General features: G+C 46.5%; 1 pseudogene across 1 annotated transcript; it reads left to right on the forward strand.

Moving 5' to 3' along the window:
- The first annotated feature begins 1,860 nt into the window (after window positions 1-1,860).
- On the forward strand, window positions 1,861-20,513 carry FRMPD2B (FERM and PDZ domain containing 2B (pseudogene); annotated as a pseudogene). The gene is made up of 6 exons (NR_033172.1): window positions 1,861-2,188; window positions 3,966-4,113; window positions 5,851-6,065; window positions 8,371-8,469; window positions 13,402-13,745; window positions 19,701-20,513. The product of NR_033172.1 is annotated as an FERM and PDZ domain containing 2B (pseudogene) (transcript).
- Window positions 20,514-21,778: the final 1,265 nt, after the last annotated feature.

The following is a 21,778-nucleotide window of genomic DNA, read 5'->3' on the forward strand; positions in this document are numbered from 1 at the left end:
ATTGTTGGATTTAACTGTTGATGGGAAATAGAATGGCATCTCCCACCAAAGTAAGGACACTCTATGGCTGATGAAAATTTTCAGAGGAAATTCAAGAGATATGTGAATGGAGGGCATTCTTTGCTTTCCCCTGTGATAATGCTATGTACCTAGAGCAAGGATATGTGTTTTCTTGGACCCTAAGCCTGCAATGAATTTGTCATCAGTAGATGATTTTAAGGGACCAAGTAAGAAACCAAGCAATAAGGCTCATGAATCCACATGGAGTGAACAGGCTGATACCAAATATGGTCCATTTATTCTTGGCTTGGGGTAACAGCCTTATCAGACACCAAACATAGCTATTTTTCATCTGAAAAACTGACTAAATTTTGGGTTATTCACAAATATATATTTGCTGAGAAGAGTTTGATGATTTCCTTTGGCTGGCAAAAACTTGGATTTTCTTTGCAGATATTTAATTTCAAAAATAATTCTTGAAATGTCTCACTCAAATCCAAATGGCCATTAAACACATGAAAAACACTCAAACCCGTGAAAAGCCACAGGAATACAAATTAAATTAAAATAAAATTTTAAACTTTATGTCTACCAGCTTGGCCAAATACAGCTGGTGGAACGTAGAAAAATGGTACTGTCATACAAAGCTGGTAGAAATGTGAATAAGTATATCCATATTCACATAGGGATGCAATCTGGCAACATCTATTATAATGAAAAATGCACATATCCTTTGGCCCATCAAAGCACACAAGACGTGCCAGGCACAAGCCTTCAGGCCCACAGCCATATCCACCTACGCTGGTCACTACCTATATAGAGATAGTGGTGCATCCCACGTGAGCAGTTGCTGAGCACCCGCCTTGTACCAGTGCTTGGGCTGGGGACATGCCCAGATCTCTCACATAGTTGCTATTGTTAAGCTTATGAACACCTAATCTTATTGCTCAGTGGAGAATACAATCTAAACAAACAGGTGAATACAGAAGACAGTGCCAGTCGGAGGTAAGGTCATGGGATAGAGTGGTGGGCAGGTGGGGATTCCCTTAGCTGGGGAGGTTGGGGAGGCTTCCTGGAGGAGGAAAGATGGGTGGTGAGCTTTTTGTTGTGTTTTTCAGGGTGGCATTAACACCAGTGTGCCATATGGTGGTATCTATGTGAAATCCATTGTTCCTGGAGGACCAGCTGCCAAGGAAGGGCAGATCCTACAGGGTGAGAGATGGGGATGGGTCCTCATTGGGAACTCTGTGCTCCATGGTGTAAAGAGCCCTGCACTGGGAGGGGCAGCCTCTAGGCCTTGCCCTGCTCCCATTCTGAAAACTCATGCAAATGATTGCCTCCCCAGGTCATACTTTTCTCACCTGGAAAGGAGGTGATAGAATCTGCCCTGCCCATTTGATAGGTTGGGGGGTCTGCAGTGGCACACTGGGAAGCATAGGTGATAGAAAAATAGTAGAAGACTTAAAAGACTTGTGTTGCTCTTTGGCCTCCATGGGAAAACATACTGCTTCCCTTGGAGGACAAGTGGGCCTCGGTAAACTCACTCGCACATCCGGGGAGGACACCTGAGCCTTCTGTTTGCCCTTGCTCAGCTCCCACTTCTCTGATGGAAGGGGGTGATTTTTATTGGTCTCCAAAACTGCCAGAATTGAGCCAAAAGGGGAACCTAGGATCTTACTTATCTCCATTTCCCCTAGAATTCTGGTGTCCCCAGCGTCAACCATGCCTCCCTGACCTTTTTTTGAAATAAAAAAAATACATCCTGGAGATATAAATATCTAAGTGACTTGAAAATACTTTCAAAAACGGTTTCACAGGAAAACAGGAGGAAGGATAAGGTTGAACAGAGCTGGCTCAACCATTCTGTGAGCCAATAATAGAAAGGCTTTTATATCCCTGATCTGTGATGTGCCTGAGAAGAAGGGAGTGAGACTGCTCAGAGAGGCAGGATTCCTGCTGACTCCAGGGGGACACCTGGCACCTCAGCTTCCTTTCCCACTTCTCCAGGCTGCATGGAGGGGTGCCGGGCAGGGGCCTCCTGGAAGGGAACCTCCTGCAGCCTCAAGCACCAGGTCATGACATGACATCTATCCCTTTCCCAGGTGACCGACTCCTGCAGGTGGATGGAGTGATTCTGTGCGGCCTCACCCACAAGCAGGCTGTGCAGTGCCTGAAGGGTCCTGGGCAGGTGAGTGGACTGTTGCTGACCAGCTTCCCCTCCTTCCGGAACTTTCCTGAACAACATCAGAAGCTGAAATCGCCTCTGGGTGGGAGGGAGGCAGGCAGGAAACAAGACTTTTTCTTTGTTAGTTTTTTTTTTTCTCTTCCATTTCTTCTTACCCTCACTTTTCTATGGGGATGTGAAACCCAGGAGATAGCAGATAGATGTTTCTGAGTAAAAAAAATCTCACCCCCCATAGATAGCCTTAGAAACTTACTGGTGGCTTGCCTGAATTCTGGAATCAGACAGCGGAATGGAGAAGATGGAGTGAAGAGACTGCTCTAGCCTGGCTCTGGCTGCCCCAGCCCCGCTGGCCCTGTGTCCATGGGCCTTCTTACCTCCCTACGTTTGCATGGGATGACCCCACTCCATTCCCTGTTCATGCCATTCCCCCTCACCCTGTGTTGTACCCACCGGGGCGTGGGTCAGAGTGTCCTGGGATTCTTTTCCTCACAATGAGGTAGGAATTCAGGGTGCCAAGAACAGAGCCATTCATCCTTTATGTCCCCTTTATTCCCTGCCCCGCAGTGACTCGATGTTATCCCACTGTGCCGAGTCCTCTGCCTGAGGTTAGGAGCCTCTAACTGCCTCTGTGTCCTGAGCCACAGAGCTGGCATCACCCTCTTTTGGCAACTAAAAAGTCAACAGAGACAGGAGGGATTCCTGAAGGCCCTTCCAGCAAGCTTGGGGCAATGTTCTGGCCACTTTTCGCTTTCTTTCCCAAAGCGTTTTTCTGGTGTCTGGTGAAATTTGCTTATATTAGTGACTTTGGTTGACCTATCTTGAGAACAGAGCCATAATTTATTGGCACCTTCTGATATTTAGACCTTTGCTAATGAGCATGGGTAGAGAGGGTACTTGGCTGGCCTCTTGGCAGCTTAAGCAGGTAGGAATTGTCCCTCTGGGATCCTGGGCCAGGTGCTGAGTGACAGGTGCAACAGGAAGATGAAGGCAGGGCCACATGCCCTGAATGGGAGCTTGGCATTTCTGAGAAGCTTCCAGGTGATGTCTATCTGCTGGTTCTTGAATCACACTTAGGGCGACAAGGGTATATGGTGTTGTGGGGAGAAATGTGGGAAATCACATTGGAAAGAAAGGGGAGGGCAGGTGGTACAGACCTGGGGTGCCATGGGTTTGGGTCTTAGGTGATGGGAAGCATTGGAGACTTCAAATCAAGAATGTTGCATGTTCAGTTTTTGTCTTAGACCAATTCACTGGCAGCCATGATGGGGTGGACCAAGAAGGGTGCAGACAGGGTCCAGCGAGCCAAGGTAACCAGAGCTTGCCACGGCCCAGCGGGTCACTGGCAGTGAGAGAGGAGGTGGAGGGGAGGGGGCACTGAGGAGCTGTTCTTGATGGGGAATGTTCACATCTTAGAAACCAGATGGGGGAGAGCTGGACCACTCCAAATGTGGCCCTTGGCAGGTTAATGGTGGGGTGAGCCAATGCGAGGGGAGGAGTGTTTTAGGAAGAATGAGGAGGGGAAGTGAGGGTGAGTGAGGGGAGGAAGATGAGTGTGGCACTGCATGTGTGAAGTGGAGGTACATGTGTTGCTTTCAGGTGCACTTGTCTAATAAGCACTGAGAAATCTGGGTCTAGATCCCAATATATAGGCTAGTTGAGAGATTCAAATGAGTCTGCTTATAGGAAGGATTCGAAAATTAAGAAGCATTTGCAGAGTCAAGGGAGTGCCTCCTGGTTGCCATATGAAGTGTAAACTGAGTTTGTTCACCTTTCCTTCTAGGTTGCAAGACTGGTCTTAGAGAGAAGAGTCCCCAGGAGTACACAGCAGTGTCCTTCTGCTAATGACAGCATGGGAGATGAACGCACGGCTGTTTCCTTGGTAACAGCCTTGCCTGGCAGGCCTTCGAGCTGTGTCTCGGTGACAGATGGTGAGAGGGGAGAGAATTGAGTGTTACTATTGTCATGTTATTGTGTGCCGCTTTTGAATTGTCAAGTCAAAAGGGAAAGGCAGGAAGGCTTCCTCTGGGTCCTGAAAAGAAAGCGAGCCATGGTGATCATGCTGAGATCGGCTTTTTCATGCCATGGAAGCCCATCTCATGGAATAGGTTTCTGGAAACAAATGCATTTTCCCCAAATGATTTCTAGGCATCTTTCTGCCCCCAGCCTTCCTCAGTCCTTTGATCAGCTGCCAGAATGTTAATGTTTGTGTGAATATTTAGGATGAAATTGACTGAAAGGGTCATACACTTTCAGATACATTTGGCTTCACAGTCCAGCCAAGTCATTTGTAACAAAGTTATTTGAGGAATGACTAGGCAGGTTGGGAGAGAAGGTTCAGGAATCTAGCCTTGTTATTAGCATCATTTTAAAAGGCAAATGAACGATCATTTAGAGGGACAAAACTGCACGTTTTCCGATGGGCTGCCCATCTGCAATTCCCTTGTGATTTTGGTATTTGCCAGGAACACGCTGATTTCCTCAGTAAGAACGATTTGGACCTTAGCCATGTTTTAGTCCCTTCATAGAGATTTTCTGATTTTGCTGCAGAAGACTCAAGCCAGCCATAGGGTAGGGGTGGGGCAAAGGGGCATGCTTCTGTTTAAATCAAGTCTCCTCTGTCCTCACCCCTTTGCTCACTCCCTTGGGGCCTTTGAGAAATGGACTCCAAAGAGTGGAGGAGGCCTTAGGGCGATGGTAGAACTGGTCGTGTGACACACCTTCACATAATTGCTTCACATAATTGCTTCACATGCTTCCATTCTTGCCCTGGTGAAGTTTGCAAGCTGTGCTCTGTCCCTCTGTGCATTGATGCCAGCGGGGCAGCCCAGAGGCCTCTTTGGTGGACAGACCATGTAGGTTGCCAGCTCTGTTCATCCTTGGTGCCCAGAGGCAACTGTTTTGTCTTATGGTCAGCCTACATGGGTAAACAAAATGGCAGCTAAAGCATTGTCCATAGAATTGGCCATAATTTTCTCCATGGTCTAATTATTCAAAATTTAGTTTCAAGTATACTACAAATGACTAGAGTTCTAAAGGAGTAATAGGAATGTATGTGATACAAGTTTTATTAAATGCCAAGAGCATGTTGTGTATGCCTAGCAGCTATATCTTTATGTATAAACATAGTTGAGTTATCTATAATTGTGCTATTCAATATGGTAGCCACTTGCCACATGTGGTTATTGAGGACTTGAAATGTGACCAATCTAAATGGATAAAATATGTATTGGATTTTGAAAGCTTAGTTCATAAGAAGAATAAAAAATATCTCATTAATAATTTTTTCATATTGATGACATGTTGAAGTGGTAATATTTTAGATATATGGGATTAAATTAGATGTACAATTATAGCGTATTTAACCTGTTTCCTTTTACTTTTTAAATTGTTTTATTTATTTTTTGTTTGCTTTTTCCTTTTATTTTAATGTAGCTATTTGAAAACTTCAAAATGACATTTGTGGTTTGTATTTATAGCTCACATTATATTTTATTGGACAGCACTAATCTATAACATACATAATGTACTCTGTCATAAAATTGGCAAAGGAATTATTTGAACGTAAAAGAAATAATTCATCTACTTGACAATCTGCATTTTGAGACTGGTCAATTTCACTTGTAATCTACTGAAGAATTTATTTTTATCAACATCCCACACTACAGGTCCTAAGTTTGAAGTCAAACTAAAAAAGAATGCCAATGGTTTGGGATTCAGTTTCGTGCAGATGGAGAAAGAGAGCTGCAGCCATCTCAAAAGTGATCTTGTGAGGATTAAGAGGCTCTTTCCGGGGCAGCCAGCTGAGGAGAATGGGGCCATTGCAGCTGGTGACATTATCCTGGCCGTGAATGGAAGGTCCACGGAAGGCCTCATCTTCCAGGTGCCGGGGGTCATGGGCAATGCAGCTCTCTGTGCAGGCTGGCCCCAGCTTTGCCTCTTACTAGCCTGCTGCCGTGGGGAAAACTCTGGGCTCTCAAAAATCACACCAGCAGCCCGGATTTTAATCACACAAAGAGAGTAATTAGTGGTACATGCTCACATTTAATTTAAAATCTCTGTTTTTAAATATCTGACCTTGAGTCAGCCTTGCTTCTCACTGGGTTCATGAGAGAAGCTGAAGATAAAGCCCTGGCCTTTGTGCTGGCTGACATCTCTTCACACACATCCTGGGAGGTGGGCGTGGGGCTGAAGGGACTAGAGTGGGTCCCTTTCTGCTCTCCTTCCCATTTCTCAACACATTTACAGCTTTTCATACATTATTACACTGATTGTCCTGTCTATGATAAAAAATGCAATTTAAGAAGAGAGAGTAATGAAATACTGTATATATTAGACAGAGTCCTGGAAGAAAATGGAGTCATTTGAGGAACATTTAATAAAGGTGTGGGCAGGTTGTTAGGAAGCTCAAGGGAGCATGTTGTGGCCTAGGGCTAGGATAGGAAGAGTGGGATGCAGTTACCCCTATCCTGAGGCCAAAGGGGAAGGGAAAGAGCAGTTATTCCACCCCAGGAATGGAGAGCTGTTGGAGGGGACTCGCTGGCATGAGCTCTCACTTTGGCTGAGGTTGTAGTCGTCCCATGGCAACCTGAAGGGAGGAATTTGGAAGGAGCAATGACCTCCGCTCCTCCCTGTCTCTGGTCTCTTGCCGTGTTCCCCTAGCTGAGCCCAACAGGAAGCCTCATGCAGCCTTTATAAGTCAGCTCCAGAAACACAAAGCAAGATGGACAAAGGGGGACAGTGGCTCTGGGCAGGGCTGGGGGGAGGTCTCTAGAACACCATATGCTTGGGTGGGAGGGCATGCCTTCATCCATCCATCTCCTGATCCAAGAACCCTTCTCTGAGAACCACTGCTGGGCTGGCAACTCTATGAGAGACTGAAGACACAGAGGAAGACAGCTCATGCAGTTTCAGAGCTCATGGACAGAAAACAGCGGTGATGGCAGGAGATATGTATCCTGAGAGATGAAAGCCCATGCTGCAGTGCTCACACCAGTGAGCCAGGAAAGAAGTGCACCCCTTGGAAGTCCTGCGTGGCTGAAGCAGGGACTGGGGAGTGTCTTGATCAGCAGTTCTTAAGCAGAGATTATTTCCTTCTCATGGGATATTTGATTAAGTCCAGAGACATTTGTGATTGTCACAACTGATGAGTGCTTCTGGCATCTAGTGAGTAGAGATCAGAGATGCTGCTAAACACCCTACAATGCACAGGACAGGCATTCGCATAAGGAATTGTCCAGCCTGAGAGGTCAACAGTGCCAAGAGTTTGAGAAATCCTGGTCTAAATAGGAAATAGGAGCTATCGAGGCAACCTTGAACCCTGGACATTGAGAGGGTGGCTTGGAGCAACAGATTCAGCATGGCAGGGGCTTAGGACGTGGGTGCAGAGGGGAGTAGATGGGAGAGAGGGAACTGTGGTGAGAGGCAGAGGCAGGCAGAAACGGGGTCTATGTGCTATGCCTTGGAGCTTACATTGAGGGAAAAGTGAGTCAGCCAGGGTGTGCAGTGGGGGAAGGACTCAGTTATATCTGCACTGTGGAAAACTACCCTTGAGCATTGCAGAGGGAGGCAGGTGGGTGACACTGGAGAAGGCAGCAAGCAGTGAGGAGGTCACTGCAATACTACAGGTGAGAGGTTCCCAGAGCCCAAGCCGAGCCCTGATAGGAAGCTCAGAGCCAAGGGTCAGGCTTTAGAGATTCAGATGGTGGAGGCTGCAAAATTGCTGGCCCAAGATGAGGGGAGGTTGGGAGGAAAGGGCAATTGAGATGAACAGCTATTTGTTGGAGTCATTCTTTCTCTCTCTGAAGAAAAGGCATTGGTATTGGCAGATATTGCCATTCCCTTGAGCAATGTGGAAGGAGGCAGGTGGGTGACACTGGTGAAGGCAGGGAGCGGAGAGGAGGTTACTGCAATATTACAGATGAGAGGTTCCCAGAACCCAAGCTGCACAAAGGTGATGCACAGCCCAGCATCTTGCATCAACTTTGTGGAAGCTGCAGGCCACTGACCTTGGTTCCTTGCACTTTGAAAAGTCAGGCCCACAGCAGGGTTCTCCGGAGTTCTCTGGAGTGAGAAATAGATCAAGGTGCAGGGAGGAGGAGCTAGTGCCTGGGACGCAGTGGGGAGAACATCACTGCATCCCCAGCAATGCAAGCCCAAATCTAACAGTGAATCTTGGTTTCTCGCAGGAGGTGCTGCATTTACTGAGAGGGGCCCCACAGGAAGTCACGCTCCTCCTTTGCCGACCCCCTCCAGGTGCGCTGCCTGAGATGGAGCAGGAATGGCAGGTAGGCTGCAGTGTCTTCTACTCTCTCTACCTGGCTCTGGTTGGGCCCCCCTTTTCCAGACTCTAGGGTCCTAAGAGGGTTGTAGATAGGTTCAGTGCCACCTCCTTTCACAGGGGTAGGAAAATAGCTGGCCCCCAAACCTCAGTAGGTCTCCTTCCTCTCCCTGATTCTGCCTCTTCTGACATTTGGGTCTTCTTGTAGATGTTTACATGTTTAGACTTTGGCTGTGAAACTTTTAGGGCCAGGCTCTCTGGAAGCTCAGGCATCAGAGAGGGAAGCCTGGGAAGAAGGAGAGTAGACACAGAAGCAGACCAAGGGAATTTCCAATAAGAATTTCCATTCTGAGAGATGATGTGGAAAATAGGATATATGATTACCCTCCTAAAGCATGAAATAGGCACGTGCAGTCTGGTTCAAAGAAGAGAGCCATTGGAATCAGGAAAATAGGGATTTTTACCTTGACACATATATTAGTCAGGTTCTCAGAGAAATAGAACAGATAGAATGAGTGTGTGTGTGTGTGTTTATGTGTGTGTTTATATATGAAGAGAGTGAGAGAAAGAGAAAGAGATTTATTATAGGAATTGGTTCATGTGATTTTGAGGGCTGGCCAGTCCAATTCTACAGGGGAGGCCAGCAGGCTGGAGACCCAGAGAATAATTGATGGAGATCAAGCCCAAAGGTGGTCTGGAGGCAGAACTCCCTCCTCCTCAGAGAGGTCAGTCTTTCCTCTTAAGGGCTTCAGCTGACAGCATGAGGCCCACTACATTATGGAAGACAATCTGTTTTACTCAAAGTTTGCTGATTTAAATGTCAAATCACATCAAAAAAAAATACCTTCACAGTGACATCTAGATGGTATGTGACCGCCTATCTGTGTACCATGGCCTAGCCAAGTTGACAGATACAATTACCCATTGCCATGCCTTCTGTGGGGTTCCTAGGAAACAGATTTTGCAGCAGAGATGTGAGCGTGGGAGGTTTTATGGGGCCTGCGCTTGAGAACATCCCCTGTGAGGGTGACTGAGGTGGGGTGGGGCAGAAGGAGAGATCAATGTGCAGCTATAAACAGGGCCTCAGCTGATTCTGGAGGGAGCCCTGGAGCAGAGATGGCCCCTTGGAGCTGCCATGAATTGGGACAAGAGAACCTGTGCCTTTGCTTGTTGCCCTAACCAGCGCTGGGGTGTGGGCTGCCCCAGGGGAGGGGAGATGAGGCAGTAGGATGCGAATCTCAGTCCTGGAGGGGGATCTGGGCGGGTACCTGGATCACCTGTACCTGCTGTGCTGCATGGGCCTTGGGCAGTTGCCTGTCCTCTCTAGGCCCCATGATTCCTCATCTCTAGGATGTGGATAAAAGTGATCACTTATTGTGCCTGAGGGTGACACCATCACTAGGACAACATAAAGGACTTGATGTCCCAGATCCTGTTGATGCTTAGACTCCAAGAGGTCATTTGACATAGCCTCTAGGGAGGGAAGAGCTATGGGAAAGATATCCAAAAGTTGCTGGGTTGGAAAAGAAGGTAGACAGCAGCAATTGTGTTAAGAAACCGAACCAGGTGAGAGAGGGCCAAATTTCACACACACAAATTCAGGCCAAGGTGCTGGGACCCTGTGTTTTTGTTGAAATATCTAGGAAATCCCAGGGAAAAAAGTGGTATTTCCATCCTGGAGAATAGCTCCTCCCAGGAGAGCCCATAAAGATCTAGCAGGAAGGGTCCAGGTGAGGTGTGGGGGTGAGCTTTCCCTCCTCATACCCGAAGGCCAAGTGGGAGGATTGTGATTTGCTTGGGTGGCTCCAGTGGTCAGATTGCAGAACAAGGGTCAGCAGCTCTGGGGAGCAAGCATTTAGTCCATAAAGTAAAGCACCTCTGAGAAGGAGGCAGCCATGCCCACATTTGGGGTAAGGGCATTCCAGGCAGAAGGAACAGCATGAACAAAGGCCCTGAGATGGGAACCCACTTGGATGTTTGAGGGACAAAAATACAAGTGTGCTTGGGCCATCGTTAATGAAGCAGAAGTGGAGGAAGTTGTGGAGGTGGCAGGGACCCTGGAGGGCCTTGGGGATCAGAGGAGCATGATGCCGCCATCCTGCATGCAGTGGGAAGCCACTGGGCTGGCATGGAGGGTTAAGCAGGAAATGCCCTCCTCCGTTCTTCAGAGGGGCCACTCGGGTTACTGGTGCACAGGGACTAAAGGAGGTCAAGCAGCAGTCATTCAGGTCAAACATGATGTGGCTTGGACTCAGGCTGTAGCTGAAGTGTTAAGAAGCAGCCAGATTTGGGATACATCTGGGAGGCGGAGTTCAGGAGACTACTTTGGGATTAGAAACAGGCATGAGGAAAGAGAGCAATCAAGCTTTGGCATGAGGAAGCCTTGGGGAAATGGTGCTACCACCAATGCAGGGTGAAGGAGGGGTAAGAAGGTAAAAAGCCTGATTTTCCTGATTCCAATACCTCTCTTCTTTGCACTAGATCACATATACCTATTTCATGCTTTAGGAGGGTAATCATAGATCCTATTTTCCACTTCATCTCTCTTGGTACCAGTTCCCAAGAGAGGGACTGCTTACAGGGGCTGGGGAAGGCCATCTGGGGTGCATGGAAGAGAAACAATAGTTCTTGGTATCATTTAAAACTGAGATGTTTATAGGCTATCCAGTGAAGAGTCTATTAGGCAGTTGTGGAGAATAGGCATGAGATCAGGGCTGGGAAAAGTGAATTTGGGAGTTGTCAGCATATATAGAGGTCGTGTAAAGCCATGAAATGGTTGAGATCACCTTGGGAAAGAGTGCAGATAAGTTCAAGGAGAGGACTGAGAAGTCAGCACAGAGCATAACAACATTGAGAGGCCTGGTACAGAGATGGGACAACATATGAGATTAAGATGGGGCCTGGGAATTGGTGGAAAAACCAAGCAAGGGTGGGGCTCACGGTCAACTCCATGTAAGTAGGGCTAATGAGCAAGGAAGCTCTCAGGAAGGAGGGAGGGACACACTTTGTTGAACGTTGCTGAGAGAGAGAGTGAAAGGACAAAATATTGTTCTTCAGCTTTAGAAAGATAGAGGTCGCTGGGGACCCTGATGTGGGCTCCTTCCCTTGGGTGGTAAGGACAGAAGGCTGGTGCTAGTGGGTGCAAGAAAGAAGGAGGGAGGCGTGGAAACGGTGAGAAGAGACACTCATCTAAGAGGCTGCCATGAAGTAGAGCACAGAAATGGGTGGCGAGAGGTGGAAGCTGAAGTTGGGGTAGGGGCACAGGCTGCTCAGTGGAATTTGCTGTGGGAAGATGAAGAGTTCTCATCTGAACGTGTCCATTCTCACTGTGAGGTCACAGGCAAGGTCAGGGTGGAGTTGTTAGAAACTTGAAGAGAGAGACAAGATGAGAAATAATTTAGAGAGCAGAGGTAGAAAACTGAATGGATTAAGGACACAGAGAAAGATTATGTGGAAGTCTTGACTGCCCATTTGACATCTGCAGTCACACACTTGAAGCTAATCTAGTCAGAGGCTCAGAAGCAGGGGTGAGGTTCACACAGTTTGAGTAGGAATTAAAATGGAAACTCAGAATCTGCAAGTGACACGTGATGGAGGAAGAGAGGGGCAAGGAGGTGGGAGCTCAGGGTCTTCCTTGTCTGTAAGTGAGCATCTAGGGGCAGAGCCATGGAATCTAAGCAGAATAAGAGGCACACCGAGGACATGTGTGACAGGGAAGGGGAGTGGGGGTAATGATGAAAAGCAGCAGCTCCACAGACTGGAGGTCTTGGAGTGGGGAAGGATTGCTGGAGAGCATGTCCAGGGATAATGAGCTAGAAGGAGAGGATAGGTTAGAAAACAGATTTTGGAGGTCTCTCCAAAGAGTATGAAAATGTGACAAAATATGGTCTTCTTAAAATTTTGATTTTTGGTGTATCCTTTATAATGTCCAGTCTATCAGAAGAGTAGTAAATGTTTATGATTTATAATTAAATAAATGTGCACATTTGGAGGTGTATCCCTCTCATTGTTAGGGATGTACAATCAGAAATGTGGGGAGACCACTCATTGGGGTGGTTCTTCTTTTGTAGGTGAGGGCAGGGGTGGGAACCCAGGCATGGGCTCTATTACATCAGGTATGGAGATCATGGGGTGGAAGTGCTGGAAGATAATTTTCAGGAAAAGGTAAAATCATGATTCCTACAGATATAAAAATGAACACGTTAAAGATTTTATTTAACTCATTCAGTGAGGGAACCAGGCAGATGTTAAAACTGGCTCAAAAGAGATTTCAAAGGACCTGTTTATTTATAGAGTTGTAAAATAGCTCAAAGACAGTGGAGACAGCCAGAATCAGAGAACCCAGCAAGTTCTGCTGTAGATAAAAACAGTTTTCTACTGAAACACAGATTGTTTTTCTGTAGAAGGTCAAGCAGTGGCAGCAAGACATAGCACATCATCAAAACCAGAACCTAAAAGGCTGACAGGGAGGTGAGCAGTTGAGACGAAGCAAGTCATGTCTGGGAAAGTGAGGAGGAGACCCAGGAAAGAACATCACCTTGATGGGGGTGGAGACAGGGAGACAAGCCCTGAGATGACAGATGAAGATGAAAAACTTAAAAAGAAACATTTCTTATCGGAAAGTGGAATAGAGTCATTGTTTTGCATATTTATCTTCCATTTTTATCTTTGTCTAAATTTTGCAAATATTTTTTATTTAAAAATAAGGCTCACATTTATGGAGAGCTTCCAAAGCCCCCTAAGCTAAGGTGCCTGAGTGTGTTGCCCAGTGTCCAGCTGGGAGCATGTGGAGGAGCTGGGATGCTATGGTGATAGACAGACCTCAAAGCCCATCTTGTAACTACTCTGATCTATAATCACATGGGGGAAAAAAGCTTTGTATTTTTAAAAAAACAATGTGCATCCCGCAGCCAGTAATTAGTAGCATTTCTTTTAATAGACACCTGAACTCTCAGCTGACAAAGAATTCACCAGGGCAACATGTACTGACTCATGTACCAGCCCCATCCTGGATCAAGAGGACAGCTGGAGGGACAGTGCCTCCCCAGATGCAGGGGAAGGCCTGGGTCTCAGGCCAGAGTCTTCCCAAAAGGCCATCAGAGAGGCACAATGGGGCCAAAACAGAGAGAGACCTTGGGCCAGTTCCTTGACACATTCTCCTGAGTCCCACCCTCATTTATGCAAACTTCACCAAGAAAGGGATGAATCAACATTGGCGACCTCTTTGGAAAAGGATGTGAGGCAAAACTGCTATTCAGTTTGTGATATCATGAGACTTGGAAGGTAAGAATCACCACATTTGCAGACATTTTGTAAACTATGTGCATCTCATTGCTAGGAAATTGTAATCAAGCCATCAATAACTATGCTTGGATGATTTTGTGCCCAGCACTGTTCCAGGCATTTAGAAGAGAGGTTGCAACAAGAGAAGCATAAGGTCTGGTGCTGCTGTGACCACCTGTGAGCTTTTGGGAAAGCAAACCCTACCCAGACCACAATTGTCCCCAATATGTCTTGGAAGCTATAGGTGGCAGGCCTCAGGTTTTCTCCTGGCACACAAACCTTTCTCTTGTATCTTCCATGGCCTGTTAAAGCTTTGTAGTAAGAAGGAAGTTCCTACATGCATCCTCGTTTCTATTGCTAGTATAATGCTTCATTATCAACATCAGCTTTTTTTTTTTTTTTAAAGATGGGGTCTTACTATGTTGCCCAGGCTGAATTCAAAATCCTGGGCTCAAGTGATCCTCCCACCTCAGCCGGTCAATAGCTGGGTCTACAGGCACCAGCCATCATGCCTGGCTACACCAGCTTTTGTTTTCTGAACACATCTATATCTTCAAGACCACCCTGCAACATTCATTTTCACAGTCATTTTAAATTTAGTCTGCATTTTTGTGTCCATCCATCTGTAAGTATTTCCGATTCTCAGTCCTATGCTGAGGGAACACATAGTCTTTGATTCAGTTTGACAAGTACTTATTACACAAGGTGCTTGGAAACCTGTTGAGAGCAGACAGAGGGCTGCACATGTAGGGTAAGACCTGCTTCTAGCATTTGCCAGCCAGAGGCATGGGCACAAAGCAGGTAAATAACAAGGGGCAATTGTTTGTGTTTGACACTCTATAAACCCACTGAGATTAAATGGCTCTCATTTGGTAGCCATCCTAGACGACTGTCAAAGGTAGATCCATAGGAAATGATAGTCTCTGTGAAGTGTGAAGCAGTCGTGTAATACCGTTGGACCCGATGAGAGCTGTGACAAGCAGGAGCCAGGCATGCATTCCCTAAAAGTACCCTGCTACAATTTTTTGAAGAATGCTGTGTCAGCCAAACAAAAGCTAACTGGTTTGCAAAGTAGAACAGGGTGAACAAGCACATTCATCAATGATATTCACTTTCGTTGTCTGATAATGTATAACATAAGTGTATTTATAGTTCTTTACAATTGCAGTCTAGGCAGTAATTGACATACTTGATAAAATAATAAAGAAAGTAACCTACAGAGACTTGTCCAAGGACAACTATTACCATGATCTTAAAGGATATATTACAGGAACGGTACTTTCCTGTAGGGAGGAGGCACTTGTTTGGATATTGAAAGGTTTTGCTGCCAGATAGCTTGGGATAATGAACAGGGACCCTGAGAGCTGAATTATAAAGTGACCCTGGGTATAGGTACAAGCTGGGAATTTGACTTGCCAAGTGCCTTTAATTTAATATAGCCAATAGTTATTTAAAATGGTATTTTAAACTATTAGTATAGGCAGTCACTGTTTCATTCATTAAACTACAGAAAATCAGCCTGTTCAATATAAAAATGATCTAATCTAGCCTCAAACTCCATGCTGGAATCTGCTCCATAACATTCCTGAAGAAGGGGTCCCAGCTTTTGCTTGAATATCTGCAGGGATGCGGAACTTGCTACCTCTTGAATGACCCATTTTATCATCATCTAGTTACTGATCAGAAGGTTCTTCCTTACATTAAGGTGAAATCTTTATGCTGTTATGCTGTTCTTATAGGGCCAGCATTTAAAGTTACACATTTTGCATACAGCATGGCTCATAAATTTAAGCCTCCTAACTTCATCTGAAGCTCAACCAAAGAAAAAGTGATTTGCTCCCACATCTTCCACATCTTTATGCCTCTTTATGTCTTCTACTTCCAAGTCCGGATACCTATTTCTGCCTATCTGTTAGCATTTGCTGTTTTTTTTTTTTTTTTCATCAAACATCACATTATTCTGTTTTTCTGAACCAAATTAAATTTGGCTTAGTGGCCCTATTTGCAAGGGTATACCAGATGTCCAAAATCTGTCATTCTTGGAGGGACTGCTCCTTTTAGAGCCACACGAGAGTCCCAAGGGCTTGTCCAGAGCATTCCAGGGGAGTCTCCTATCTTCAGTCTGTTGTGAACGCCCATCAACCATCATACTCACTGCCGGGCCCACATGGTCCATGTACCCATGGATGAACTGTGGGCAGGCAGCTTTACTGTTCTCGGTATCCTGGCTCTCTCAATGGCCAACCGCACCCCCTTTTTCTCTTGCCTCCCTGTGGTAGTTCTGTTGATGAATGCTTTCTGCCTCATCACATTTCCTGGCTTTATTTTTACTTCGTTTTCCCTCCCTCACTTAGGAACCTTTCCTCCCCTCTGAAAGAACTCAAACCAAGTCCACCTCTCCTCCAATAGGACGTCAGTTTGCATTTAATGCACACATAGTGGCTGCCCCCTACAGGAAGAAAAGAGGGACGCATGCCCAGCGACCCCTGGACACAGTTCCCCCAGCTCCTGGATAGGGTCTGAATCAGGATTCCAAAGTGGGATTGTGACTCTGCAGAAGCCTTAGAAGTGTTTGCAGCTCAGTTCTGAGGTGACTGTCGCAGGCCACTGCCTCTTAAGTGTCTGGCATCTGTGAGTTAAACTCTTCAACAAAAAGAGCATGGATTTCTGTATCCTATTATGTGGTTTCAGCGTTGCCACTTACTAGTATGCCTGGAGCGTTGCCTTCCCTAAGCTGGAGGCTTCCCAAATGTAAATGGGGACCATGACAGTTCCACAGGGTACTGTGCAGGTCAAAAGAAATAGCACGCTCAGGGTGCTGTCACAGTGCCTGGCATGCGGTAAGAACTCAATGCAAGTCTGTTTTCCTTCCCTTTCCTGAGCTATTTCCAGCTAAAGAACAGGTCCCTTCAATTGAAATTCCCAGCAAATTGCCGGAACTTACCATCTGCCAGGTGGCAATTTCCTACAGCCAGATGGCTGCCAGCACCACAGCAAACCCAAAGTGTTCATGGACAAGATTCGATTTCACTTTCTTTCCCTGTTCTCTTTTCTCACACTCTATATCTAGAGATTTTACCATCTAGTAGTAGATCTTTATAAAAATATCTTGTAATAAAGCAGTACAGTACATTTTTATGAAGGAGAGTTGGATTACGTGCCTATCAGAGGGAAAGCTTGGCTGGAGACATATTTTTTATAAGGTTAGTTCCTAAAGGTAGGCAGAAGGCAACAATCACATCAAGTCTCATTACCCTTGAAACATCACTTTGGAAGGAGTGATGTTATTTGCCCCTTGGTGTGGGAGCAAATCACTTTTTGTTTGGTCGAGCCTCAGATGAAGTTAGGAGGCTTGCATTTATGGGCCATGCTGTATGCAAAATGTTTGTCTTTAAATGCTGGCCCAATAGAAACAGAGACAGATTGACAGGATGAAAGATTTAGTTCTCCCACTCATGTGCACTTCAAGGCTTACACTTATCGGTTGGAAAGTTGGTCTTTGCAGAATGTTTAAGGTTATCTTTCTCTTTCTCTTTTTGCCTAGCACATATCATTAAACTCATGTAAGTAAAATGCACGTAAGTTCCACAAGCATCACTTTGTGAAAGTGATGGTATAAATCTTGATGGTCATTTATTTAAGAAAGCAAAATGAAGCAGGACTCCTGGAAATGAACCTAAAGTTATGATATACCTTCTGGGGAAGGGCACTGCCTGGAATAGCAAAAGATAATTAGGAGGCCAGAGATCTCACTCAACTGCAGGGGCCGGGCCAGGTGTGATGTCAGAGTAGTTAGGGAGGGATGCAGTTGCCAGGTGAGGGAGATGTCATGCCTGCTCTTGGGTTGGAGTGTGGCTGAGGGGAGTGAGGGAGGCGGCAGAGCCTGGGCTAGATCCTGGATGCTGCCTCTAGCAGGATTCTCTTTACACCTTACAGGCTCCCAGGGCTATCCTTGGGTATCCCCAGATACCCAGGGGTATCTGTCCACACTACTGTGACAAATCCTAAGTATTGTACTTCAGCTCAGATTTATCATCTGAGCTTCAAATCTGGCAGTCCGTTGAACTTGTTTACTTTGATGTCTTAGAGATACTGTAAATCCAACCTGCCAAAACTAAATGCAGTTGTCAGGAGCAGAGACCTGGGGCTCCCAGCTGTGTCATCCGGGCTAATGGAGACATCAGTATGGGGCCTGATGTTGGAGAACTGGAGACATGAAGGGACACAAACCCCAAACTTTGTTGTGAGTTTAACCGTAAGTAAATAGGACAATTATAATACCTTCATATTTCAAGCCTGAAATGCCCAATCTGCTTCTATGAATTTCCTCCTGAAAGGCAGAGATGAATTTGGTGGCCCAAGTCTTTAAAGGACAGCTGTCCAGAAAAGTTGGGCACAGTGTCTTTTCTCAGTAAACATTCTGTAGCAAGCAGAGCCTTCAGAATGGTTTCACTGACTTCAGAGCTGAACTGGGATTCCTCTTAAAAATACCCACTGAAGAGTTTCAGGACTTGGTGGGGACCCTGGTTCTGGGGTCCTGCTGGTTTGTATGGGAGACATGGCTGGCCAGGAAGCCCAAGTGAAATCTCCAGATTCTCCTCTAGTTATCATCTGTCTATAAAAGCCTCCTTCTGTTGGACAGCTTGGTGGGCAGAGAGTGAGGGCAGGAAGAAGCTGAGATCATTACACAGAATCAGGGGGTGAGCAGAGAGCCCCGTGTACTCCGACAGCATCAGGGTCTTGCTGAAAGTCCTGCTACATTAGCCATGAGCTGGCCGGCCTTGAACCCTGGGTGAAGAACTCCACCTCTTTACCCATCATGTCCACATGCAAAACATGAGGCTTGCTGTGAAAGAATGTCTCTATCTTAATGAAATTCTCCAAATTTCCAAGTCTTGCCCTTTCTGTGAAATAGGCATACAGGCTTCTGGTGCCTCTTTATTCCCTATTCACCCTTTCCCTATGTCCACAGTTGAGCCCCAGGTCAAATCTCCAAGGGCAGCCTGATGGCACGTGCAAAAGGATAGAAGGAAAGGCAGTCGTTCTCCCAACTTGTGGTGGGATGATGGCCAAGATTTCACCCTTGGGACCACCAAGTCCCCCTGGACAAGTGGGGAGCAAATCGCTTTTTCTTTGGTTGAACCTCAGATGAAGCCTTGCCTCTTGCCTCTCAGGCTGATGGCTTCTCTAGGTCTCTGTCCAGGCAGAGCCAGTAGCTGGAGCTCAGAATCAAAACCAGAGGGCAAGGAGCTTATTAGAAGAGGTGGAGGGAGTCTACGGGTGGGAGGTGAGGTGTGGACACTGAGGCAGCTGCAGTGGCCAATGGACACATACAGCTGCCATCTTCCACTCCTCAACAAGGCTTAGTGAGCTCAGAAAGGAGGGAAGGGGGTGCTGCTTGAGGTGGTGGGGACAGTGGTGAGCCTAGGCCTGGGCAATAGGCTAGATTTCCCATTCTTTGATAAAACTTCTTGAATGTTTCTTTCCCATGTTTATAAGAAAACACAGTTTCTACATGATTTAGCCAAGCTTAAAGTCAATTTTCCCTGCAAATGCTCAAGAATTAAAAATGTCTTTTGACAGTGAGTGTTCCTCTTCAGTCTTTGTAGAATAATTTCTTTTTTATACACTTGAGTGTGCATATATTTACATGAAATTCACTATTTCACATACCTTGTAGCTCTCATGAGTGGAAATAATGTCTCTTTCACAGTGAAGCTCAGTTTGGGACAGATGCTTCCGGCTCTACTGGGGAGGAGGACGTGCTCTCTGGGTATCTAAGGGTTTGTAGCTATTGGGGTGCACCAGAGCCAATTTTAAGAGAAAGAGGCAATGCAGGAAAGGAGAAGGAGAGCAGCAGCACATAACAAAGCCAACCCATTGATTTGGGTGGGGGTAAGGAGGCTGAGAAATGAGGATCCATGTATTTGCTAAATCTTTGTGCTTTTCTCTTAGATATTCCTTCTCATCTCCTCTAACCAGACTTTCGACAGATATTTTCTGAGCACCTTCTCTGCATGTCTGCAGTGCTGTGTAAAATGCCCTACCTTTGCATGGACTATTCTTTCTAATCAAGAGGCGTGTGTGGCGAACTTGGGGCAGCCCCTGGAAGTCTTGTTCTTTGACCATTACGTCTGCGGCTGCATCACCAGATAATGAGCTTCACCACTTGTCTGCCTCCTGTGTCCTTCCGCGGGGAGTAAATGTCACTTCAGCTTGCCGCATCTCTAAATAGGCAAATTTTCAGTGCTCAGAAAAGGACCTGATCTTTGCACAAAGTGCTTTGATGGTTGCCTGCTTGAGTCACTCCCAATCCCTTCCTGAAGCCCTTTCTTTATAATTCTTCTGTTGAAATAGCCATCATATTCACAGTACTAATCACAGCATCTCACATTTACTAAAAACTTACCCCATACCAGGAACCCAGAGTTGGGGGGGCTGTGTCAGAATTATGTAATTTACGTGTCCCAATAATCCTAGATGCTTCTTGACCATCTAGTTTTGTCAAATGAGAAAACTGAGGTTCCAAAGAAGTCAATAAACTTGTCCAAAGTCTGACCGACTCTGCTTGCCATGTGACGAGTCTGTCTTAGAACTGGGTCATTGCCCTGCTTGCAATGCTGTGCCCTCTGGCAAGCCCCCCCACCCCCCTGGTCTCCTGAGCTCGGTAAGGTGCTCCAGCTGCCTCTACCATAGCACTTCCTACATGGACTGTAACATTTCTTTACTGCTCCAACTTCTCATTAAATTGGGGGCTCCTCAAAGCCAGGGTTGGTGCCTTATAAGTTTCTTGCTTCCTGGTGCCCAGAGCAGCCTCTGGCATGAGCTGTTTGAACACTGGCTGAGTCTCACGGGCCTGTGTCGTGCAGAGTATTCTAAAAGGCAAGGGGAAGGTGGGGTGAGGAATTTTTTTTATCAAGGCTGGAAGAAACATGGGCTTCTGTATTCTAGTCCTGAATTGGATGGGGAGGATGGGGAAGGTGACATGTACCATCCATGTGGAGCCCCTTCTCCCACCTCGGAGGATGAAGAGTATCTTACCATCAACTCTACATGCCAAGGCCAGCTACCCTGTGAAGAATGTTTGGAGGCAGATTCTGGGACCATTCCCTTGCCACAGTTCTGCTCTTGGGGCACTGTCCCAGAGTCTTTGCCTCCAGAAGAGTCCCCAGAGAGTGGGAGTGAATGGGAAGACCTGGAGGAGCCTGTGGCCCTGGAATACGGTGCCCTCAGGTGGGTGTCACTCTGGCTGGGTGAACTGGGGCTGAGCTCTGACCAGAGCAGGGCTCAGTGCTATCAAGCCACTTCAACTGGGGGTGGGGGATGGTCTGTGGGCATTGCCCAGTTTCCCCTGCATCTTCTTTGGGGGTCATGCGTCATTGTAATGGCCATTTTCACAGAACACTTACCATGGCCCTTGCACCATGACAACGACCTACAACATGGGGACTGTCATCACCCCCATTTCACACATGACACATTTGGGGCTTTCCCAAGGTTATCCAATAAGTAAGTGACAGAACTAGAATTCAAACCTGATCGGTTCCCCACTCCACGGCCCACCTGTCGAGCACCCATCTGTTCTGCCTCCTATGTACAGGAGTGTGCATTCCTCTCCTCAGGTCTCTCTCTTTTGGGGGTCTGAATGTCTAGTGCTGATTCCTGTTTTGCCTGCTCCTACCTGCCCCTCTGCTGGATGTACTGCAGAGAAGAGTCTTGGTGTCCTGTCATAGGGCCCATCTTGTTGGACTGCTGTGGCTGAGTATAGACCAGCATCAGGAAAGTCTCACTGTTAATGCAAGGAGCCACCAGAAGCTGACCTGGTCACCAGGCAGGGTCAGAACATATTGATGAGGACACAGAAAAAGTAAGGGCAACAGAAACTGTCACACTGGGAAGAAGGGAGGTTAAATTCTGGGCAGGTCTGTAACCACTCAACATTCTGTTAAAGTACTTACAGTGTATATTTAAAAATGCTGAATGTTCCAAAAACTTTCACATAAACACAGTTTCAAGGTCCACTGAAACTTAAC

The sequence above is a fragment of the Homo sapiens genome, chromosome 10 (assembly GCF_000001405.40).
Source record: "Homo sapiens chromosome 10, GRCh38.p14 Primary Assembly".
NCBI classification, from domain to species: Eukaryota; Metazoa; Chordata; class Mammalia; order Primates; family Hominidae; genus Homo; species Homo sapiens.